This window comes from Homo sapiens, chromosome 1 (genome assembly GCF_000001405.40).
Source record: "Homo sapiens chromosome 1, GRCh38.p14 Primary Assembly".
In the NCBI taxonomy this organism is placed as follows: domain Eukaryota; kingdom Metazoa; phylum Chordata; class Mammalia; order Primates; family Hominidae; genus Homo; species Homo sapiens.
Genome location: NC_000001.11, coordinates 54,364,257 through 54,381,208, shown reverse-complemented (window position 1 = coordinate 54,381,208; position 16,952 = coordinate 54,364,257). Strand labels below are relative to the sequence as shown.

General features: G+C 50.4%; 1 protein-coding gene across 13 annotated transcripts in view, besides 9 other annotated features; it reads left to right on the top strand.

The window, feature by feature from the left end:
- Positions 1-16,952, top strand: part of SSBP3 (single stranded DNA binding protein 3) — a 188,059-nt gene that overhangs the window by 32,282 nt on the left and 138,825 nt on the right. The window lies entirely within an intron of this gene.
- Positions 1,898-2,448: an enhancer, noted in NCBI's record as "H3K27ac-H3K4me1 hESC enhancer chr1:54844434-54844984 (GRCh37/hg19 assembly coordinates)". NCBI's record gives its function as "activates a minimal SCP1, AML or CMV promoter by ChIP-STARR-seq in primed H9 embryonic stem cells {active_cell/tissue: H9 hESC(primed)}" and the evidence as "EXISTENCE:reporter gene assay evidence [ECO:0000049][PMID:30033119]".
- Positions 2,449-2,997: an enhancer, noted in NCBI's record as "H3K27ac-H3K4me1 hESC enhancer chr1:54843885-54844433 (GRCh37/hg19 assembly coordinates)". NCBI's record gives its function as "activates a minimal SCP1, AML or CMV promoter by ChIP-STARR-seq in primed H9 embryonic stem cells {active_cell/tissue: H9 hESC(primed)}" and the evidence as "EXISTENCE:reporter gene assay evidence [ECO:0000049][PMID:30033119]".
- Positions 3,549-4,098: an enhancer, noted in NCBI's record as "H3K27ac-H3K4me1 hESC enhancer chr1:54842784-54843333 (GRCh37/hg19 assembly coordinates)". NCBI's record gives its function as "activates a minimal SCP1, AML or CMV promoter by ChIP-STARR-seq in naive H9 embryonic stem cells {active_cell/tissue: H9 hESC(naive)}" and the evidence as "EXISTENCE:reporter gene assay evidence [ECO:0000049][PMID:30033119]".
- Positions 4,312-4,381: an enhancer, noted in NCBI's record as "active region_1062". NCBI's record gives its function as "activates an Ori minimal core promoter by ATAC-STARR-seq in GM12878 lymphoblastoid cells {active_cell/tissue: GM12878}" and the evidence as "EXISTENCE:reporter gene assay evidence [ECO:0000049][PMID:35858748]".
- Positions 4,392-4,521: an enhancer, noted in NCBI's record as "active region_1061". NCBI's record gives its function as "activates an Ori minimal core promoter by ATAC-STARR-seq in GM12878 lymphoblastoid cells {active_cell/tissue: GM12878}" and the evidence as "EXISTENCE:reporter gene assay evidence [ECO:0000049][PMID:35858748]".
- Positions 4,650-5,199: an enhancer, noted in NCBI's record as "H3K27ac-H3K4me1 hESC enhancer chr1:54841683-54842232 (GRCh37/hg19 assembly coordinates)". NCBI's record gives its function as "activates a minimal SCP1, AML or CMV promoter by ChIP-STARR-seq in primed H9 embryonic stem cells {active_cell/tissue: H9 hESC(primed)}" and the evidence as "EXISTENCE:reporter gene assay evidence [ECO:0000049][PMID:30033119]".
- Positions 4,722-4,821: an enhancer, noted in NCBI's record as "active region_1060". NCBI's record gives its function as "activates an Ori minimal core promoter by ATAC-STARR-seq in GM12878 lymphoblastoid cells {active_cell/tissue: GM12878}" and the evidence as "EXISTENCE:reporter gene assay evidence [ECO:0000049][PMID:35858748]".
- Positions 4,912-4,971: an enhancer, noted in NCBI's record as "active region_1059". NCBI's record gives its function as "activates an Ori minimal core promoter by ATAC-STARR-seq in GM12878 lymphoblastoid cells {active_cell/tissue: GM12878}" and the evidence as "EXISTENCE:reporter gene assay evidence [ECO:0000049][PMID:35858748]".
- Positions 7,400-7,949: an enhancer, noted in NCBI's record as "H3K27ac-H3K4me1 hESC enhancer chr1:54838933-54839482 (GRCh37/hg19 assembly coordinates)". NCBI's record gives its function as "activates a minimal SCP1, AML or CMV promoter by ChIP-STARR-seq in naive H9 embryonic stem cells {active_cell/tissue: H9 hESC(naive)}" and the evidence as "EXISTENCE:reporter gene assay evidence [ECO:0000049][PMID:30033119]".

Here is a 16,952-nt window from a genome sequence, read left to right as displayed (position 1 = left end):
ATTTCACCATGTTGGCCAGGATGGTCTTCCTCACCTGACCTCATGATCCACCAGCCTCGGCCTCCCAGAGTGCTGGGATTACAGGCGTGAGTCACCACTTCCAGCCTCTCTCTCTTTTTTAAAAGTATTGGGGTCTTACCTTGTCACCCAGGCTGGAGTGCAGCCTCAAACTCCTCCTGCTTCAGCCTCTGAGTAGCTGGAATTACAGGCTTGTACCACCATGCCCAGCTAATTGTCAGATTTTTTTTTTTTGTAGAGGGGGTCTTGCTGTGTTTTTCCCGGCTGGTCTCAAACTTCCGGCCTTAAGCAGTTGTCCCGCTTCAGCCTCCCAAAGTGCTAGGATTACAGGTGTGAGCCATCATGCCCTGCCTAATATACTGGCTTTAAGGAAGCTTTCAGGTGCCCACACTCTGTCAGACTTGACTTAATTCTTCTAGGCTTTACCAACACCCCCAACCCCATGGTTGGGGGTGGGGCATTACAACCAGGCTGTGGTCACCTCTGAGGCACAGGTGTCAGCCACAATGCCACCTTTTCCGGTGAGTCAGCGAGTTTGTCTGGAATACCCCTCCGTAGGTGAGAGCCGGGGTCCTGGGCTGGGACCACGATGGGCCGTAGCTTCTCAGGAAGCCGAAGCTGGCCCTGGCCAGAGCTGTCTTGCAGACTTGAGATACAGATGGCTTCTTTCCCCCTCCCGTTTTCTTTTTGAAAATGTTTTTAACTCGGAGCATGTGTCGGCACGGCGTTCTTTCCACGAGGACAGAAGCTGTCACTGCACGCAGCAGAGACACTGGTTCTGATCCAAAGCCGATTGTGGCCTGCTTCTGGGTCTAATTATTTGGCAGGTCAGGTGCTGGGGTACTGTCCAGGGTGTAATCAAGACTCAAGCATTTGGGCATGGGGGTGAGGAGGAACCATGGGGAGGGGAAGGAAAAAGGAGGGGGTGTGTGACTTAGCCTGTCCAGACCACAGAGCGAGTCAATCCCCCTGGAACAGTGGCGTCCGCTGCTCTGCGGGGAGGGTCTGCCCATGACCTGGTGTGGGAGCCGAGGCCGCCACCAACTTGGGCGCCCAGCCCAGACCCTAGGAGAGGGAGGAGCCTGGAGCAGCCTTTCCCTGGCGAGATTGGCCACATTCCATTTTCCTCTCTGACCAGAGAGCCCTCTCACCCCTGGGTGTACAGGCTCTTTCCGCTAACAGAGGCCCTCCTCCAGCCCCATTGTCCCCACTGTGAGACCAGGAGTGCCCCTTTCCCAGCCCCAAAAAATGAGTGCGCTCCCAGTGTGAGGCACAGAGTGAAAGCCTCGTGTTTTAGAACGGCGGGTGGGAAGGACTTGATGCGCCGTGTTCTTGCAGGAAGGGCAGGGACGATACCGCCTTGTGCTTTGCCTGGCACATGGTAGGGGCCTAGGTATTTGGGCGAATGGAGTGATGTCCAGAGAAAGCAGGACTTTGGCTCGGGCAAGGAGTGGGTGGCAGTAGGGAGGACTGTGGTCTGTGGAAGGGTCACTGTGGCTCTTGGCTTTCTCCTACTGTCCCTGCCGATGGTGACAGCCAGCCAGCCTCCTGGCCGCACCATTGTACCGCCTCTTTCTTGGCTTGGTCCTGGGCGTGGATGTCAGATTTGCTTTGTTCATGTAAAATGTGGTGGGATCATGTCTCCCTCAAATCAAATTCCAACCAAAATCAAAACAAAACAAATCAAGCGTCTCAGTGAAGACAGCCCTGAGGGTTCTGTTGTCTCAGCCTGGGAGCCTGGGAGCCTGGTCGACCTCACCTGCTTTTCAGATTTTGCCATGTTTATTGCAGACGTCCCCGTCCTGGTGCTGGCCACTCACCTTCATTACAGGTTAATTCTCACAACCTCCAGGTGTGGTATGCAGTGGTTTTAAGGAAAGAGAAAACAGAAAAAGGCCACACAGGTAGGGCTTCACAGCATCTGAGGGCACCCAGGGTGGCCGAGGTGTGCTGCTGGCGAAGGCCCTCCTGCAGACTAGAAAACCCGCATGTCGCTCCTGCGTAGCAAGTGTCATGTCTGTTACTGGCTGACACTTTGAGGGTTTTTCTTTTCTCCAAATAAATAATTCTTTGTCTCTCTTCAGGGTGGCAGATCGGGGCTGGAGGGAGGAAGCCATCAAAAGCAACCTGGCTGACTATGAACAAGTGGGTTGGGGCGGGGACCTGGCCAGGCGGTGGCGGGGCCAGGAGAGCCAGCGTCTTGTGTCTGGCCTGGGTGGGGAGGGTGTGGGAGACACCTGAAGCCACCTCGGAAAATGTTCGGTGGGGCATTTCTTGCCCAGAGCTGTGTGAGTGAAATATTTGACTAAATGGGGAGTTCCTTCCTCGGAGGAGGATAAAGCGGGCTCTCTTTTCCTGTCCCTTTGTCTCTTGTCCCCTTTGTCCCAGCCCTCCAGCTCTGCGGCCTCCCCTCCCCCAGCGGTTCCTTCCTTTGTGCCCGCCGGCCACTCACCAGTGAAACTTAACTCAGCCCCGGGCCTCACTCCCCTCGAAACAACAGAAGGAGCTAGTAGGGGCAGGCCTGGCTGTCAGCGCCTTGGACTAAAAGGAACCAAACCGCCGTCCCAGCCCCCAATGGTGGCAGTTAATTTTGAAGTTTGGCGTTGACTGTTGGCAGTCCCTTCCGAGGGAGCAGCTTTGGAGGGGGTGTTGCTGCCCCAGCCAGAGGGATTGGGGGCTGTGGCTGAGGCCAGGAGACCTGGCCTTACACCCCTTTCCCTGGTAAAGGGCCCTGGGTTCTCCACCACAGCCCCTCTTTGTCCTGCTCTGAGTGGTTTGGAGTTCTTTGTGCAGTGGCCCAGAAATATGGACGCGCAAACTGTAACAGAGCCCCACCCACACCTCTGGGTAGCGAAGCACCCATATTTGTTACATGATTGTCTTAATCCTCTTTAAGCAAGGATTAGCGATAACTAGGGGGTTAAACAAAAATCAGAAGGAAAAACTGTAAGTTGGGGAAAATCTATCCATGAAAGAAAGTTGATGAGAATATGGGAAAGTTGGGCTGGATTCAGTTCATTTGTTATAAAAATGGGAACTCTGGCACCTTGTTTCTAAGCTGATGGCCAGAGGTCCGAGGGCATCTGCTTTTTGGGGTTGTGTGGCCTGCACGTCAGGAGAGTGCAGGGGACCGGGGCCTGTAGAGGTTCCGTAGACTTGGTGTGGATTTGTGCTGTGTTGAGGCCGAGCAGAATTGTGGTGAATCGGCACGGCTTCATTATTGCTGGAAGTATTTTTCCTTACTTAAAATATCTAATTTATTTACCCATACATGTTTAAAATAATATAGCAGATAACATGTAAATTTAGAGATACTATGTTCCACCCTAAATTTACATGATATATTTTATTCTAGGTCTTCATATGCGTTTTTGTTATCAGTGTCTTAAATGCTGTCATCAAAGCCAGTTTTTATCTTCTAACCCACCTTTCTAGGACGTATCACCAACACTCCAAGTTGTTTGACATATATTATTTTTCAGCTTTGTGTATGATGCTTCCTCTGGGAATTTTGTCCCAAGCCACAGGAATCCATTAGAACATTTAAACAGTGGCTTTGTAAAAATGTGTCTTATAGGTGTCTGTCGCTGGAAATGCTCCAGCAGATCTGAGATCCCTGCTATGATGCTGGGGGGATGGGTAGGGAGGCACCACCCTTCCTGAGTGTTAAGAGCCTGGCTGCTGGCGTCCTACCTCAAGCCACCTGTGTGACCCTGCTCTTTTCTGCAACCTCAGTATCCTCATCTAGAAGAAGCAGACAACAATGCCTAGAGCTCACTTCTCAGGATTCAGTGTGTGTGCCCAGTGGCCTGTATACACTCAGCACTCAGCACACTGAGGTTGGGCTGTTGGAGCACTCCTGCCCTTCGGGTTTACGGAGTAACCTTGAGGGCTTATCAGGCAGGGCCTGGAGGCAGACCTTGTGGGGAAAGGGAGGAGCACCGTGGGTTTCAGTTTTGGGTTTTGGAGTGGGGAAACCATTCCAGGGGAAAGGGGTATGCTTTCAGTAATGGCGATGAGGCCTGTGGCACCCTCACCCCATTTATTGATTGCTTGCCTTTAACCGTAGTGTCTTTGCCAGCCCTCTGGCATTTCCGGAGTGGAATGTTTTAAATGCCCTTGACTGAGGACTGTGTGTCCTGGAGGTGAGAGAGGGCCTTACCTCTCTCTCATTCTGTAGAAAAGCTTTGTCATTTAATGCTTTTTATTTCAAAGCTGGTAAAAACTTACCTGGACTTGTAACAGAGGGGCCAGGCTCTTTGTGTGTGAGTCATCATTGTCATGGTCATGACTTGGTCACAGGGTGACAGATGGTAGCCACACCCCTAGGCCTCAGTTGGGACAGAAACTCCTGGGATGGGCAGTGGCAGAAGTGTCTGTCAAGGGTGCCCAGGTTGTCGGGACAGATTTGCATCGCCGTTTGTAAATAAGTACTGCTTTGAATATCTACCTTTGATGCGCTGGTGGTGGAGGAGCTGGGATTCCCAATTTAGATGTTTGATGTAATTTGAAACTGAAACAATCAAAAGTCTATCTCATGAAGAAGAAAAGGAGGGTGAAAGCCCCCCTCCTAGAAGTTGTCACCTGGCTGAGATTTTAATCTGTGTGGTTTGAAGGAGTCCAGGCTGACCATATGTTGAAGGCCCTGCCCCAAAGACGAGTTTTTCCTTCACATTATTGCATTTCATTGAGAGAATTAGCAAAATGAAGTCAGAGCAGGCAGCGTGTCTTGTTACTTGGTGGAGCTGTAAGGGCTGCGTCTTCAGGTTGGGAGCACCATTCCTTGACTCACCATTGCTGGTGGCCAAAGCAAGAAATGGGTAGTGGGTTTAGAGGCTGGCAGTGTTGGCAGTGGTAACATGCCTAAAAGTGGAATTGTGTGGACTAAAGAACTTGAGGAAAGGGGTAGGGTGGGGGCAGGTTTTTTCCTGAATGGGCAAGGCCTCAGGGCCACTATACCTCTTAGAGGTGTGTGAGACAAACACACACACACACACACCCACGCATGCACGCACACGAGTGAACAGGGTGGAGGGGAGACCAGAGACTAAGGGAGGAGGAGGGGGTCCAGGAGTGGATGGCTGGGCTTGGGGGAGGGGTCCCTGTTTGCATAACTGATTGTTGCTCCTGGGTACTGTGGAGTGGGGGAAGCCAGCACAAAGGCTCTTTCCTCCCCCTCCCTCCCTGCCCTGTATCCCTCTACCTCTCCTACTTATCCCTCTCCTTCCTCTTCCCTGCTCTCCTCCTTCCCCTCCCTTTCCTCCCAGAGCCTGGTCAGCACCACCTTGTGGCCCCCCTGGGCAGCGGATGGCACTGGGCTGGCCTTGCCTTTGCTTCCCTGCAGGCAGGGTTTGCCACCGCCAGGGCCCTGTGGCAGGCAGGGCCACCGCAGCCGCCTGTAGCGTCAAGATAAAGTCCAGTCCAGAGGAAGGCTCTGGCTGTGGGTCACCCTTTAAAGGCTGTTACTTTACATAGATGGCTTCTATGTGAACTCTGAGGTGCTCGCCCCTCACCATCCTTTCCACCAGGCGACTGGAGGCTTCTGGAGGGGGACTGGCTGGGGGCGCCTCTCATGAATGGTTTTTCTGGATCCTGTCTCCTGGGCCCACAACTTGACACTCTTGAAGAAGCACTGGAGTCACAGTCAGCTGCTGGTGTGAAAGTGGCTGGCAGCAGGAGTATACTGTAGCAGCTTCAAGCAGGCCTCAGAATGTGGATGAGGTGGAGGTGCCTGTGGACTGGCCTGTGGGAAAGAGCTCAGAGCAGAGTCCTCTGGCAGACCCCAGTCTGGCTGGTCCACCACACATCTTTGCTAAATAAATAAATTGAATGCATGCATGCATGCATGCATGCAGTGTGATCCCCCCCAAGTAGGAATGAATAAATTCCCCTAGGTGGTTTGTCATCCACGTGTGGGCTTTTCTATCTGATCCTTAGTTTCCCTGTCAGTCCCATGGTGGTGACTTTTCAGCACTGTCAGGCTGTCTGATGATGGCTGTTGTGCTGCGGAGCCCTCCAGGCTCTGACCACGGGGTCCTGCCCAACACCTGGGGACACAGAGACAGAAGCAGGCCCTGTGGACAGCTAGTGGAGAAGACGGGTAGCATGTGCAGGGCCAGGGGCATATCCTGGCCCAGCCTCCTCTACTGCCTTTTTTGGCTTGCCCCAGGATAAGGTTACAGATTGGGAGCCAAGACTCCCACAGTGACGGGGTGGGGTGTTGTGCATCTTCCCACGGGATGCTCTCGTCCCCTCCCCCTCTCTGGCCCCTGGCCTCCTGCCCACCTGAGTGGTGCTTGTGCTTCGGCTGTATGACCTTTTCATGAAATGAAAACTAAAGAATGTTTTTAAGCAAGTTCATGCTCTGGAAGTCAGTTAGCTCACGTTGATAGCCCTGATATCTCACGTTGGATTAGGTGGGGTCTGCATTTTACACTCTGTCTGGGTTCTTGGGGTCAGGGTTGTGTGTGGTTAGCATGGATTTGCTTTGCATTCTGTCCCCTGCCAGGTGGGGTGGGGGATGGAGGGAGAAAGGGATGGGGACAGCTTGTTCCACCTGAACAGGCTTCACTGATTGACTTGCTTCTTCACCTTGGCTTCTGTGAAATGGGGATAATGTAAGCATCCATTATAGGATAGTTGAGGGTGGTTTGTGAACAAATTTCATCCTGGAGAATGTGAGGTGTTTGGTGTCAGTTCTCCTGGAAAGGCTTGGACAGGTCAAGAACTTTTAGATGGGAAGGAGCAGGGCCAGCAGGGCCTCAAGAAAGTGTGATGCCCTTTTGGGGCTTACTGAAGAGATTAATGACAAAGGTGGTGTGGGATGACCTGGGATGTTTGCTCAGAGTCGTCTTCCCGGAGCCTGTGCTCCTTGTGAGTAGCGGCAGGAACCAGGGCTGCAGGCTGCAGGCCTCCTGGCTACCCAGTCTCTGGATCCCCAACACGCCGTGGGCTGCCGGCCACCTGCCTCCGCACACATTCCCGCGCACCTGCGTCTTACCTGCCCAGCCTGCCTTCCAAGGCTCAGTGTAAGCCCTAACTTCTCCTAAGAAAGCTGCCCTGGGCTACTTTGCCATTCTCAAAGACAGGCTTCCAGCCAGTGCCCATTGGGCTCTTTGAGCCCTTTAGTCACCTCTTCCCATGATGTCCTTGTGCACGGCTCTGGAGAAGCCTCTGTAATAACCTGCCTTTCCTGTCCAGCAGGAAAGAGTCTAGTGGGGATAACGGGATGAACTTCACACTGACCGCAGCTCTGGTGGTCCAGACGTGCACACCATGGGAAACAACTCATGTCTCCCACGGTCAGCCCAGGGCACTCAGCTCAGACACTTTCCTCAAGCAGCCCCTGGGTGTGAGTAGGGAGTTGGGGGCAATTCTGAGCTGGTGTGCCGAGAGGCATTCCTGTTTTTTTTTTTTTTTTTCTTGAAACAGGGTCTTACTCTGTCACCCAGGCTGGAGTGCAGTGGTGCAATCTCGGCTCCCTGCAGCTTCCACCTCCCGGGCTCAAGCAATCCTCCCCCATCAGCCTCCCAAGTAGCTGGGACTACAGGCATGCGCCGCCACATATGGCTAATTTTTGTATTTTTTTTTATAGAGATGGGGTTTCACCATGTTGTCTAGTCTGGTCTTGAACTCCTGGTCTCAAGCAATCCACCCGCCTCAGCTTCCCAAAATGTTGGGGTTACAGATGTGAGCCACTGCGCCCAGCCTGTTGCTGTTTTTTTCAAAACAACTCTTTGCTGACCCTTCTAAATCCATCCAGGGCAGCCCCAGAGGCCCAGATTGGCTGGATTCGTGTAACCCTTCTCAACTCTGTAACTAGAATCATGAAGGGTGGCACTCGCTTTTTATAGAAGAGGAAACCGAGTCCCAGACAGGGAAGAGGCCGCTTGATTGACAGAAAGGGGCCCCAGAGGCTGTTGAAAATTTCCCTTCAGCCGTCAGTGGTGGGCTGGTAGGTCTCACCTTGCTCCCAAGACTGTTGCCATTAGCAACCAACTTCCCCTGTTGGTTCTGGGGGCCCTGGAGGGGAAGAGGGAAGAAGGTGAAGCAATGCTGTCAGGTGGCAGCTGAGTGTCTGTGCCAGGAGGTTATGCGGGTGACACCAGGAAGAGGGCCCAGGCACACAGAGTCACGCGTGCACAGCCCGTTGGTTTGCTCTTCATCATTCCCAGCCATGGGGAAATTATATAAAGACATTGCATTTTTTACAAAAACATCTCCCCCTGCCTCCCAACAAAAGAATAGAAAAGGAAGAAGATTGTAGAAAAAGAGGAGGACTAGGCATAGGGTCTGCTGGAGTCAGGGAGGCTTTGCCCTTGTCCTGGCCCTACCGTTCTCCAGCTGTGTGGCCCTGGGTTAATTGCCTGGCCCCTGGGGCCTCAGTTTATCCATTCATAAAAGAGGGGACAGGGTACAGGTATACACTAGCAATACAGGTGTGCAGTGCTCAGCCCCATGCCTGATGCTCCTGAGCCCTCAGGAAAGGATTGTGGGTGGAAGAGCGTCGGAAACCTGCAGTGGGTGGGTTTCCAGTCACGTGGTCACCATTTATTGAGTGTAGCCTAGATCCTGCCACAGGTATGGCACTAGGGGGATGCAGACTTGAGCCAGGATTGTGTTGATTGTTGTCTGGAACGGCAGACAGACTAATTGACAAGGTAGGTGGTGGTCAGTGCTCATGGGGAACACAGGCAGAGTTTGAAGGGAGCCCAGAGAGGGGAGTCGCTGGCTGCTTTAGGGGCTGGGAAGGCTTCCTGGAGGGGGTGTTGCTGCTGGGCCTCAAGGAGTGAGAAAGAAAGTGGAGGGGAAGGGGCATTCCAGGCAGGTGCAGATCTTTGTCTTGGAGGATTATGGCCAGTGAACACTGATAGTGCCTGACATTTATTGGGCTCTCAGTCTGTGCCAGCCCCTGTTCTCAGTGCTTTCAACATGAGGTAGTTTAATCCTCCAGACCAACCCTGCAAGGCAGGTATTACCCCATTTTGCAGTTGGAGAACTGAGCCACAGAGAAGGGAAGTAATTTGTCAGGGCTTACACGGCATGTGGGACTCAGTCTGGAAACCTTTAGAGTCAGGCTCGGGAGACCAGGCACATGCCTAGCCTGCCTTGCCTGACAGGAACCCAGGTCTGGTTGTTGGAGATACTCATTAACTAGTGGTTTGGGAGAGTTGGTGAGTCCCTTCCAACTCAGTTTCCTTATCTGTAAAGTGAGTATAACCCATGTCCGTGAAAGGATGAGGTTCTCGGGTGGAGTTGGCTGTATGAGATGTGCTCAGAGAGTGCCTCATGTTGTGGGAGGCCCTTCCCTCGGTTCCTGTACCAGGTGGTGGTTGCAGGGTAGAAAGGTGTTTAATCTTAAGGTAGCCACTCCCCCACCCCTGCCCGACTGTCTTCGTTTTTGAGGCCAGGAGCCTGTCAGCTTTGGCAGGATTAGATAAAACGTGGGCACGGTGCCCAGTGCAGCACCGGCACATGCACAGTCCCTGTACGCAGTTGTCATTTTTATTATTGTGTCTTCTCTCTCGATATTGATGATTGTTAACTGATGGTCCTCTCATCAGTCCTATGGGTGATTTTAGCCTCACTTTAGAAGAGGCGGTAGCTTGGGGGTGGAGAGTGCATCCAGAGGCACCATCATTGCAGACACACTGAAACACCAAACTGGGTGTGTCTCTCTCCCATTCCTGTGCCCGTGTCACAGTAGAGGAAGGCCCCAGCAGGCACTCCCTATGTGTTGGCAAACAAGGCTTAAAATCGCCCAAGCCTTCCCCAGAGCCAGCCTTCTGAAGCAAGTCATCATGTAAGGTGTGACATGTTCATGCACACATGGCATCCACACACGCTTTCTTCCACTTGGGCGCTTGAGCTCATGGTAGTGTCTACTCAGTCCACAATGGAGTGTTCCTCGGTGCTGGAGTTAATGCGCTCTAAACCTAATCTTAACTCTGAGCAACTTAGTCTTGTGAGAACATGCAGCTCCTATCTGAGAATAGTGTTTGCCTGCAGGGCGACCTGATATGGCTATGAAAATAATGCAGTGGAACAAGTGTCTGTAGCTTTGGGGTGTTTGGAGACCTTTCTCGTGGCCCTTCAGCATACCCCCCCTTGGGTGGTCTTCTGGCAGCAGTCTTGTTGCTCCTCTCCCATCCAGCCGCCACTGGAGAGGGGGTTGGCCCTGTCTTTTCAATCACTGAGCCCTGGGGTATTACAGCATTTGGGTCTCAGGACCATGTGTGCTTACGGCACAGTGCTAAGAACATCAGGAAGAACACCAAAGACACTGGGATCCCTTGATCTTGTATGACGGGGGAACCGTTCCCAAGTCTAAAATTGAGCTGAGCCATGCTGAGGGCTGCCACCACTCACAGCCACCACACGCATGCTCATTCTTTGTTGATTTGGAAGCCTCTTCAGGAACATGTAGTGCCTGAGGGCCACTCTTGTGGAGAAGAACTGTAATCCCTTACATATAATAATCCCCTGCACTGGACACTTTGTAGAACAATCTCCTGTATGTGAGCTCATTGGCACCCTCTAGCAGTCCTGGGGCAGTGACAGACAAGGCTTATTACCCCGTTTTGTTGATAAAAACGCAGGTGGCTTTAGTGACTTTCTAAAGTCACGTGTCCAGTATATGATGAAGCAAAGAGTAAAAATCCAATCTGAAGGCTAGTGATGGTGCACAGGACAGATGGTAAATGCTTGGCACATACTCCGGCATTCCTCCCTTGCTCGTGTCAGACATTGCAAGTTGATCACGGTAACTCTTTTTCTGCCAACCCGGGTTCAGAATTATTTTCAGAACACAGCCTTCTAGTCAGCCATTATCAATCGAATAGCATCGCCATGCAAGGTGAGTTTGTTGTCATCGGAGTCACAGACCAGGCTGGAAGTTGGCCAGTGATGTTGTTTCCTGGTCGTTTGGATTTCCAGATAAGTGAAAGTTGGATGCAGACGGTAAATGAATTCCATTTGGAAGCCCTGTACCTGCTTGACAGCCAGCCACCAGCTTCCAGGAAGGCCCTGGAGGATCTTAGGGAGGTGCATGGTGATTGACTGAAGAAGGTTTGCTTGCATTGGAGTGCCAGGTGGTGACCCTGAAGAGGACGGAGGGTTGGGACAAGCTAATTGTGGAGACATGATGGAACCCTCCCAGTTGAAGGAAGCTTAGAGGAGGAAAACTTCTCTTCCAGGCATCTTGAGTTCTACTCCACATTTTGATTTCTCTTGGGATGTTGCAAGGATGGTTTTTCATATCACACAAAGCTTCATGGGACATGGGGATCCCGAGAGAGGCAGCAGGGTAAAAAAAAATGGAGCAATGTTGTGCCCAGGATACCGTCGAGGGTACTAATCTTGGGAATCCCATCTCAACCAAAGGGACAGGGTCACGTTCTCAGACTGGTTGGTGAGTCTGAGTATCTGATTCTGTTCTGAGCGTCCTCAGACTGGTTGGTGAGTCTGAGTATCTGATTCTGTTCTGAGCGTCTTCGTACACCAGGTTTGAGGTGGAGGTTGAGTTTGAAGTTCTCATTCAAGTTGAACCTTGAATTTTGCATCTGCCCTTGTATAGCCAGACCACAAGAACAGACGACTGCAGGACTTCTTCACCTCCAGTCTTTCCTTCACGTGGAGACACAGAAACCGTCTGCCACGGTCACCTAACTAGTGGTTCTCTTTTTTTTTGATCACATAACTCTTCAAACATTAGCCGATTTCTTGCTGTCAGCCTCCACGTGGATATTCTTGACCTTGGTTTTCAAGATGCCTTTTTATCCATCCACCTAGCTGCACAGTCCCTCTCATCTCCCCCAGCAATGGTCACCCTAGCTCCCTGCCTTCCTGCATAGGCAGGCCTCCCAGTTTGTGCCCCCCCACCCCCGTCCCCCCAATCCCGTGGAGCCTCTGCGGGAATAAGTTCACCTCAAACCCTCGCCTTTCCCAGGGAGCCTGGCTTGGGCCCCCCCCCCGACTCAAGAGGACTTTTTCCCATGTGCAATGCAGATTTAAAGAAAATCAACGGTCGCAGTTTGGAAGGACCACACAGGACATAGGTTTCAGTGGTTTCTGACTTACTTTTTTTCGTTTTAGCAGAAAGAGCTTTTCTTTAAATGAAGTCTTACGTGGAAGTGCAAATAATAAAACAAAAATGGAGCCATCTACTTGTTTTAGGGGAGTGTGGTGCTGTGAATTCTGCTCACTGGGTTTCCCACCTTTACACCTCCCCTCATGCCCCCAAGGGTTTTACCTTTGAAGAGAGCACAGATCTAGGTACCTCTGATTTAGTCAGCTCCCAGTTGGAGAAGTTGTGTCTAGAATAGAGAGACGACTTGCCTGAAGATTCCCTAGTAAGTGAGAGCCACGGGGGCCCCCAGGCCTCCCTGCCATATCCAGGGTGCTTTTTAGTCTATCAGCTTTCCCAGCTCTTCAGTGAGATGTTCAGGCACATTTCAATAAAGGGTCTATAGCCAGCTCTTTGTGGGGAGTGGAAAGAGTGAAGCAGCTTCTTTAGTGTAGGGCTTCTCAGAGTTTCTAGTGTACTAGGGTGCATTGCAGATCTCAGAAGTGGAGTAGATGGATTTAAAAAAAGACAGTAATTCTCACACCTGTTTATTGCAAGACCTTATCTGGTTAAATAATCCTAAAATGGTTTCAGAAATGCTTCAGGCAGGTAATGAGTTGTGAGTTGGTTTCTGATTTTTTTTTTTTCCCTAAATGTGGGGAACTATGGGTCCAGTTGGCAATCCACGAACAAGTCCCTTCTCCCTGGCTGCAGCATAGCATCTCTGTCCTTGAGAGCCCCTGTTTTTCTTCATTAAGCACCTATTTTGATGTTAGGTGAAGGGCTCCCATGGGTCCCTCCATGTCATTAAGGTTTTCTTTTTTTTTTTTTTTTTTTTGAGATGGAGTCTCGTTCTGCTGGAGTGCAGTGGCGTGATCTTGGCTCACTGCAAGCTCCGCCTCCCGGGTTCATGCCATTTTTCTGCCTCAGCCTCCTGAGTAGCTGGGACTACAGGTGCGCACCACCATGGCTAACTTTTGTATTTTTAGTAGAGACAGGGTTTCACCATGTTGGCCAGGCTGGTCTCGAACTCCTGACCTCAAGTGTTCCACCCTCCTGGGTCTCCCAAAGTGTTGGGATTACAGGTGTGAGCCACTGTGCCCGGCCTAGGTTTTCTATCTTTTTAAATGAGTATATGTTATGCTTCTTGGATGTGGCATAATTCACCAGTTCCTTACTATTGCTTGTTTCCAGTTTTCCAGTTAAGAATTCTTTTGCATTAAGATTCTTTTCAGCTTTCTCATAATGTAAATAGTAATGTGATGAACATCCTTATGGCTAAATGTTTGTGCACATAAACACAATGGTATTCTTATGTGTAAAGTTGTTGGTCCAGTGGTACACAGAGCACACTTTAGAAACAAAAATCCATCAGAATTGCCAGCACATTGCTTAAGAGTGATTTGAGTTTTACTTCCTAGTGTTGCTCCTAGCAAAGGTGGGGACCCGCCGCAGAGGCAGCCTTTGGCCCAGGTAACCAGTCTCTGGGACATCAGAGAAGGACCTCATGTAGCTTGCCGTGCTGCCTTATCTGGCTAGTCTGGCACCAGAGTGCTGGGACTCTGCCCCTCGTCCTTTCTCCACTCATTCTTCCAACACTGCTTGAGCAGTGGGCCCTGTAGGGACTTAATACATATTAATTGACAGATTCAGATGCTTTTCCCTGTGTAAGAGCTCAGTAGTGGAGACCCATTTGTCTGAATGCTTTTTACGTCCCTGAAACCTTGCATGAGAGGCACAGATTGGACTACAGAGACAATGGGGCATCAGGGACCTTGTTCGCAAGAAGGTTTCTGTCTCTGCTTTTATTGCCTGGATCATGCCTGACTCCAAAACGATGGCTGGTATTCTCAGAAGGTGAGTATCAGGGCGGGGGTTTATGGGCAAGAGCGATTGGTGGCATTCTCCCCCGCACCTATCTTTTGCCCAAGTAGATCATTTTGGAAAAGAACTGGCTTATGGAGGTAGACTAGGATTAACCCTTAAAAACCAGCTCAGACTCCAGCAGCAAAGGAAAGAGGCAGCCCTACTTCTGGCCTCTGGTATGCGTGGCACTGTATCAGATCTTTGCATGCTACTTCAGGTGATCCCCATGAGAACCCGCAGGGTAAATAATAGCACAGTTCCCTTTCCAGCACGAGGGATTCGGAGGCTCTGAGAGGCTTAGTGCCATGAACAGTGTCACTCAGTTGTAAATGGGAGGGGGAAGTACTGAGACTGGAAGCCAGGTTTGTCTGAATCCAAAGCCACTTCTTACCAAGCTTTCGGTCCAGGAAGATTGAACGCTTCTAAAGTTTTATTAGAATTCAATCAGAATGGTTTCAAAGTCTTTTGTAGGAGGTAAGTTTAACATGATTCTTTATACTAAGCCATTTATTTTTAATTATTCAAGTAATACCTAAGTACTTCTTTTGTTAAAAATTGCTAAAATATAGAGGTATATAAAATAAGAAGTGAAGCAAAACTCCCTGCCCTTCACTGTCCTCCTGTGCATCCTGGTACCAGGTATAACTAGTTGGAGGATGTCCTTCTAGACCTTTTTCTGTGTGTTCACATGAATTGATACCTGTCTTGATTCAGCCCTGAAAGCCATTTCAGTTCTGAATGAAGGCCCCTAGTTTACTTTAATTTCAGCAAACCAGAATTTAATAGCAGCATACTAGTCTGTAACTTTGGGTAAGTTGCTTATCCTAGAGAGATCAAGCATCACATTCCTCATCTGTATACTTGGGGTGATAGTCCTAGAGTATCTTAGGACTGTTGAGAGGTAACTATGTAATGGCCCAGTATATGGTGCAAATATACTGTACCAGGTACTCAGGAAAGGGACTGGGGACTCCGCCTCCATGCTGCAGGAATGGGTATAGTTAGTACTCTGCCTTCAGAGTCGTGTGGGCAACAATGATGAAAATAGGCATGAGTAAAGATAAGCTATAAATGCCATCAGAGGGGTGTTAGCAGCAGCTGGAGCTCCAGGCTCCACTGGGGAGCAGTTAACTCACAGAGGGAATTAAGGAAGACTTTCTGGAAAAAGTACCCTCCAAGGAGGGGTGGGGACCTTAATGATACTAATTCAGCCCTGCCTTTGTGCCAGGCAGTGTTCTGAGTGGTCTGTGTAAACTAATTTAGCCCATATCAGTAACTCCGTGAGGTCAGAACTGCGATTAGTTTCCCAGATGAGTAAACTTAGGCAGAGAGAGGTTAAGGAACCTGCCCAAGTTTATACAGCTAGTAAGTGGCTGAGACAGGATTTGAGCATAGGCAAACTAGTTCTTCTAGAGTCAGTGCTCTTAACAGTTAGGTTGTGCAGCCCACCAGATTTCAAGGAAAGAAGTGGGCCAGAGAAGCACAGGAACCAGTGTGAGCAAGGTGCAGGGTGTGCAGAAGCTGTTGGCAGATCCAGGGAGAAGGCAGGCTTTCCAGGTGAGGGGGTATGGCCGTTCATGACGGAGCTGGGTAGGGTGACTGCGGCAGACAAGGGAGTACCTAGGATCACCAATATCTGATGGTTGGGCCACGCCCACCCAGTTCTGTGACTTGAGTGGGAGGGCATGTGCCTTCCCTCACATCGTGCCAGCTCCTAACCTGCTCAGGCCACTTAGTAGCTCATAGGCAGCTTCGTGCTTTTCTGCGCCCCACTTGTTGCCTTTCACTTAGGCTCTCAAATAGTAGAGTATTACTGTCAATGTTTTGGTTACTGCATTTTTGAAATTAATTTAAGAAAGTCTTAACACTGACACTTCTTAACCACTAGCCTTCCAACACACACACACACACGCACACCTTTCTTCAGGGAACCAGGTTGGTGACACGATAGAGCATGTCCTCACCCTGTCGTACCTGTGGCTGCCAAGGGCCTTTCGACATTGTGTGTGATGCCCTCGCTCTTAGATTGCTTCACCGCATGGCACAATGGAGCCTCTGTCAATACGGCAGCTAATTAATTTTAACTTTGGGATGTTGCTTCATCTCCATGCACCATTCACATTGTCTGGTGTTTTCCTGGTGCGGGTGCAAAAAAAGCTCTTCGGCGCCTTTGTCTTGTTGCTGACCCTCCTTCTCAGCCCCTCTTCCCTCCCTCCTGCCCCTCTGTGCAGGCCTGGGGCCTCTCCATCTGCATTTCCCTCTCAGCCTGATTTTCCACAGCTGTTTTGGGGGAAGTGCTGGGCATTCCTTTTGGGAGAGGTCTTAATTATTGAAATGTTAAAATGTAGCACAAACCCCGCTAGTTTGGACTATTCACGGGCAGAGTTGTGTGAGAAGCAGAAAAGCTGACGTTGCAGGTAATGGGGAGAGAAAGGCTGTTTGGGTTCGATACTGCCAAGTTCACCATCATTGCTGAGAGGAGGAGTGGCCATAGTCTGGGCAGGGAGAGAGGCAGGATTGATCATTAGCACACGTGCTTTTGGGTGTGTGGAATGGGTATTTAGAAAGGGCTGAAGATAGGCTGCCCTTGGGATATTAGTTTGCTTAGACCATCCCATGTGCTCTTCTTCCCCTCCCCATTTTTCACATTTCTCATGTTAAGCTTGAGCCAAGCATTAATGTTTATTTGTGGGACTTGATATTCTATTTATATTTTCCCCTGCTGCTGGTGTTTTGTTTTGAGAAGCCTCACCCCTTCCTCTTTGTTAAACAGAGTGCTAGGTTGGGAGGCAGGTGGGACCTCAGTCCTTCTAGCAGACTGGCTCTGGCAGGTCATCTCCCCTTCTCTGGGTCTCAGTAAGCATTTACAAAGTAGAGGTGCTGAACTAGCTGTCTTTATTCTTTGGAACCTGTCTATTACGGCAGCCTTTGTGATGGAATGTACTTGACACTAGAGTAGGGTTTGGCCAACTTTTTCTATAAAGGACCAGAGAGTAAATATTTC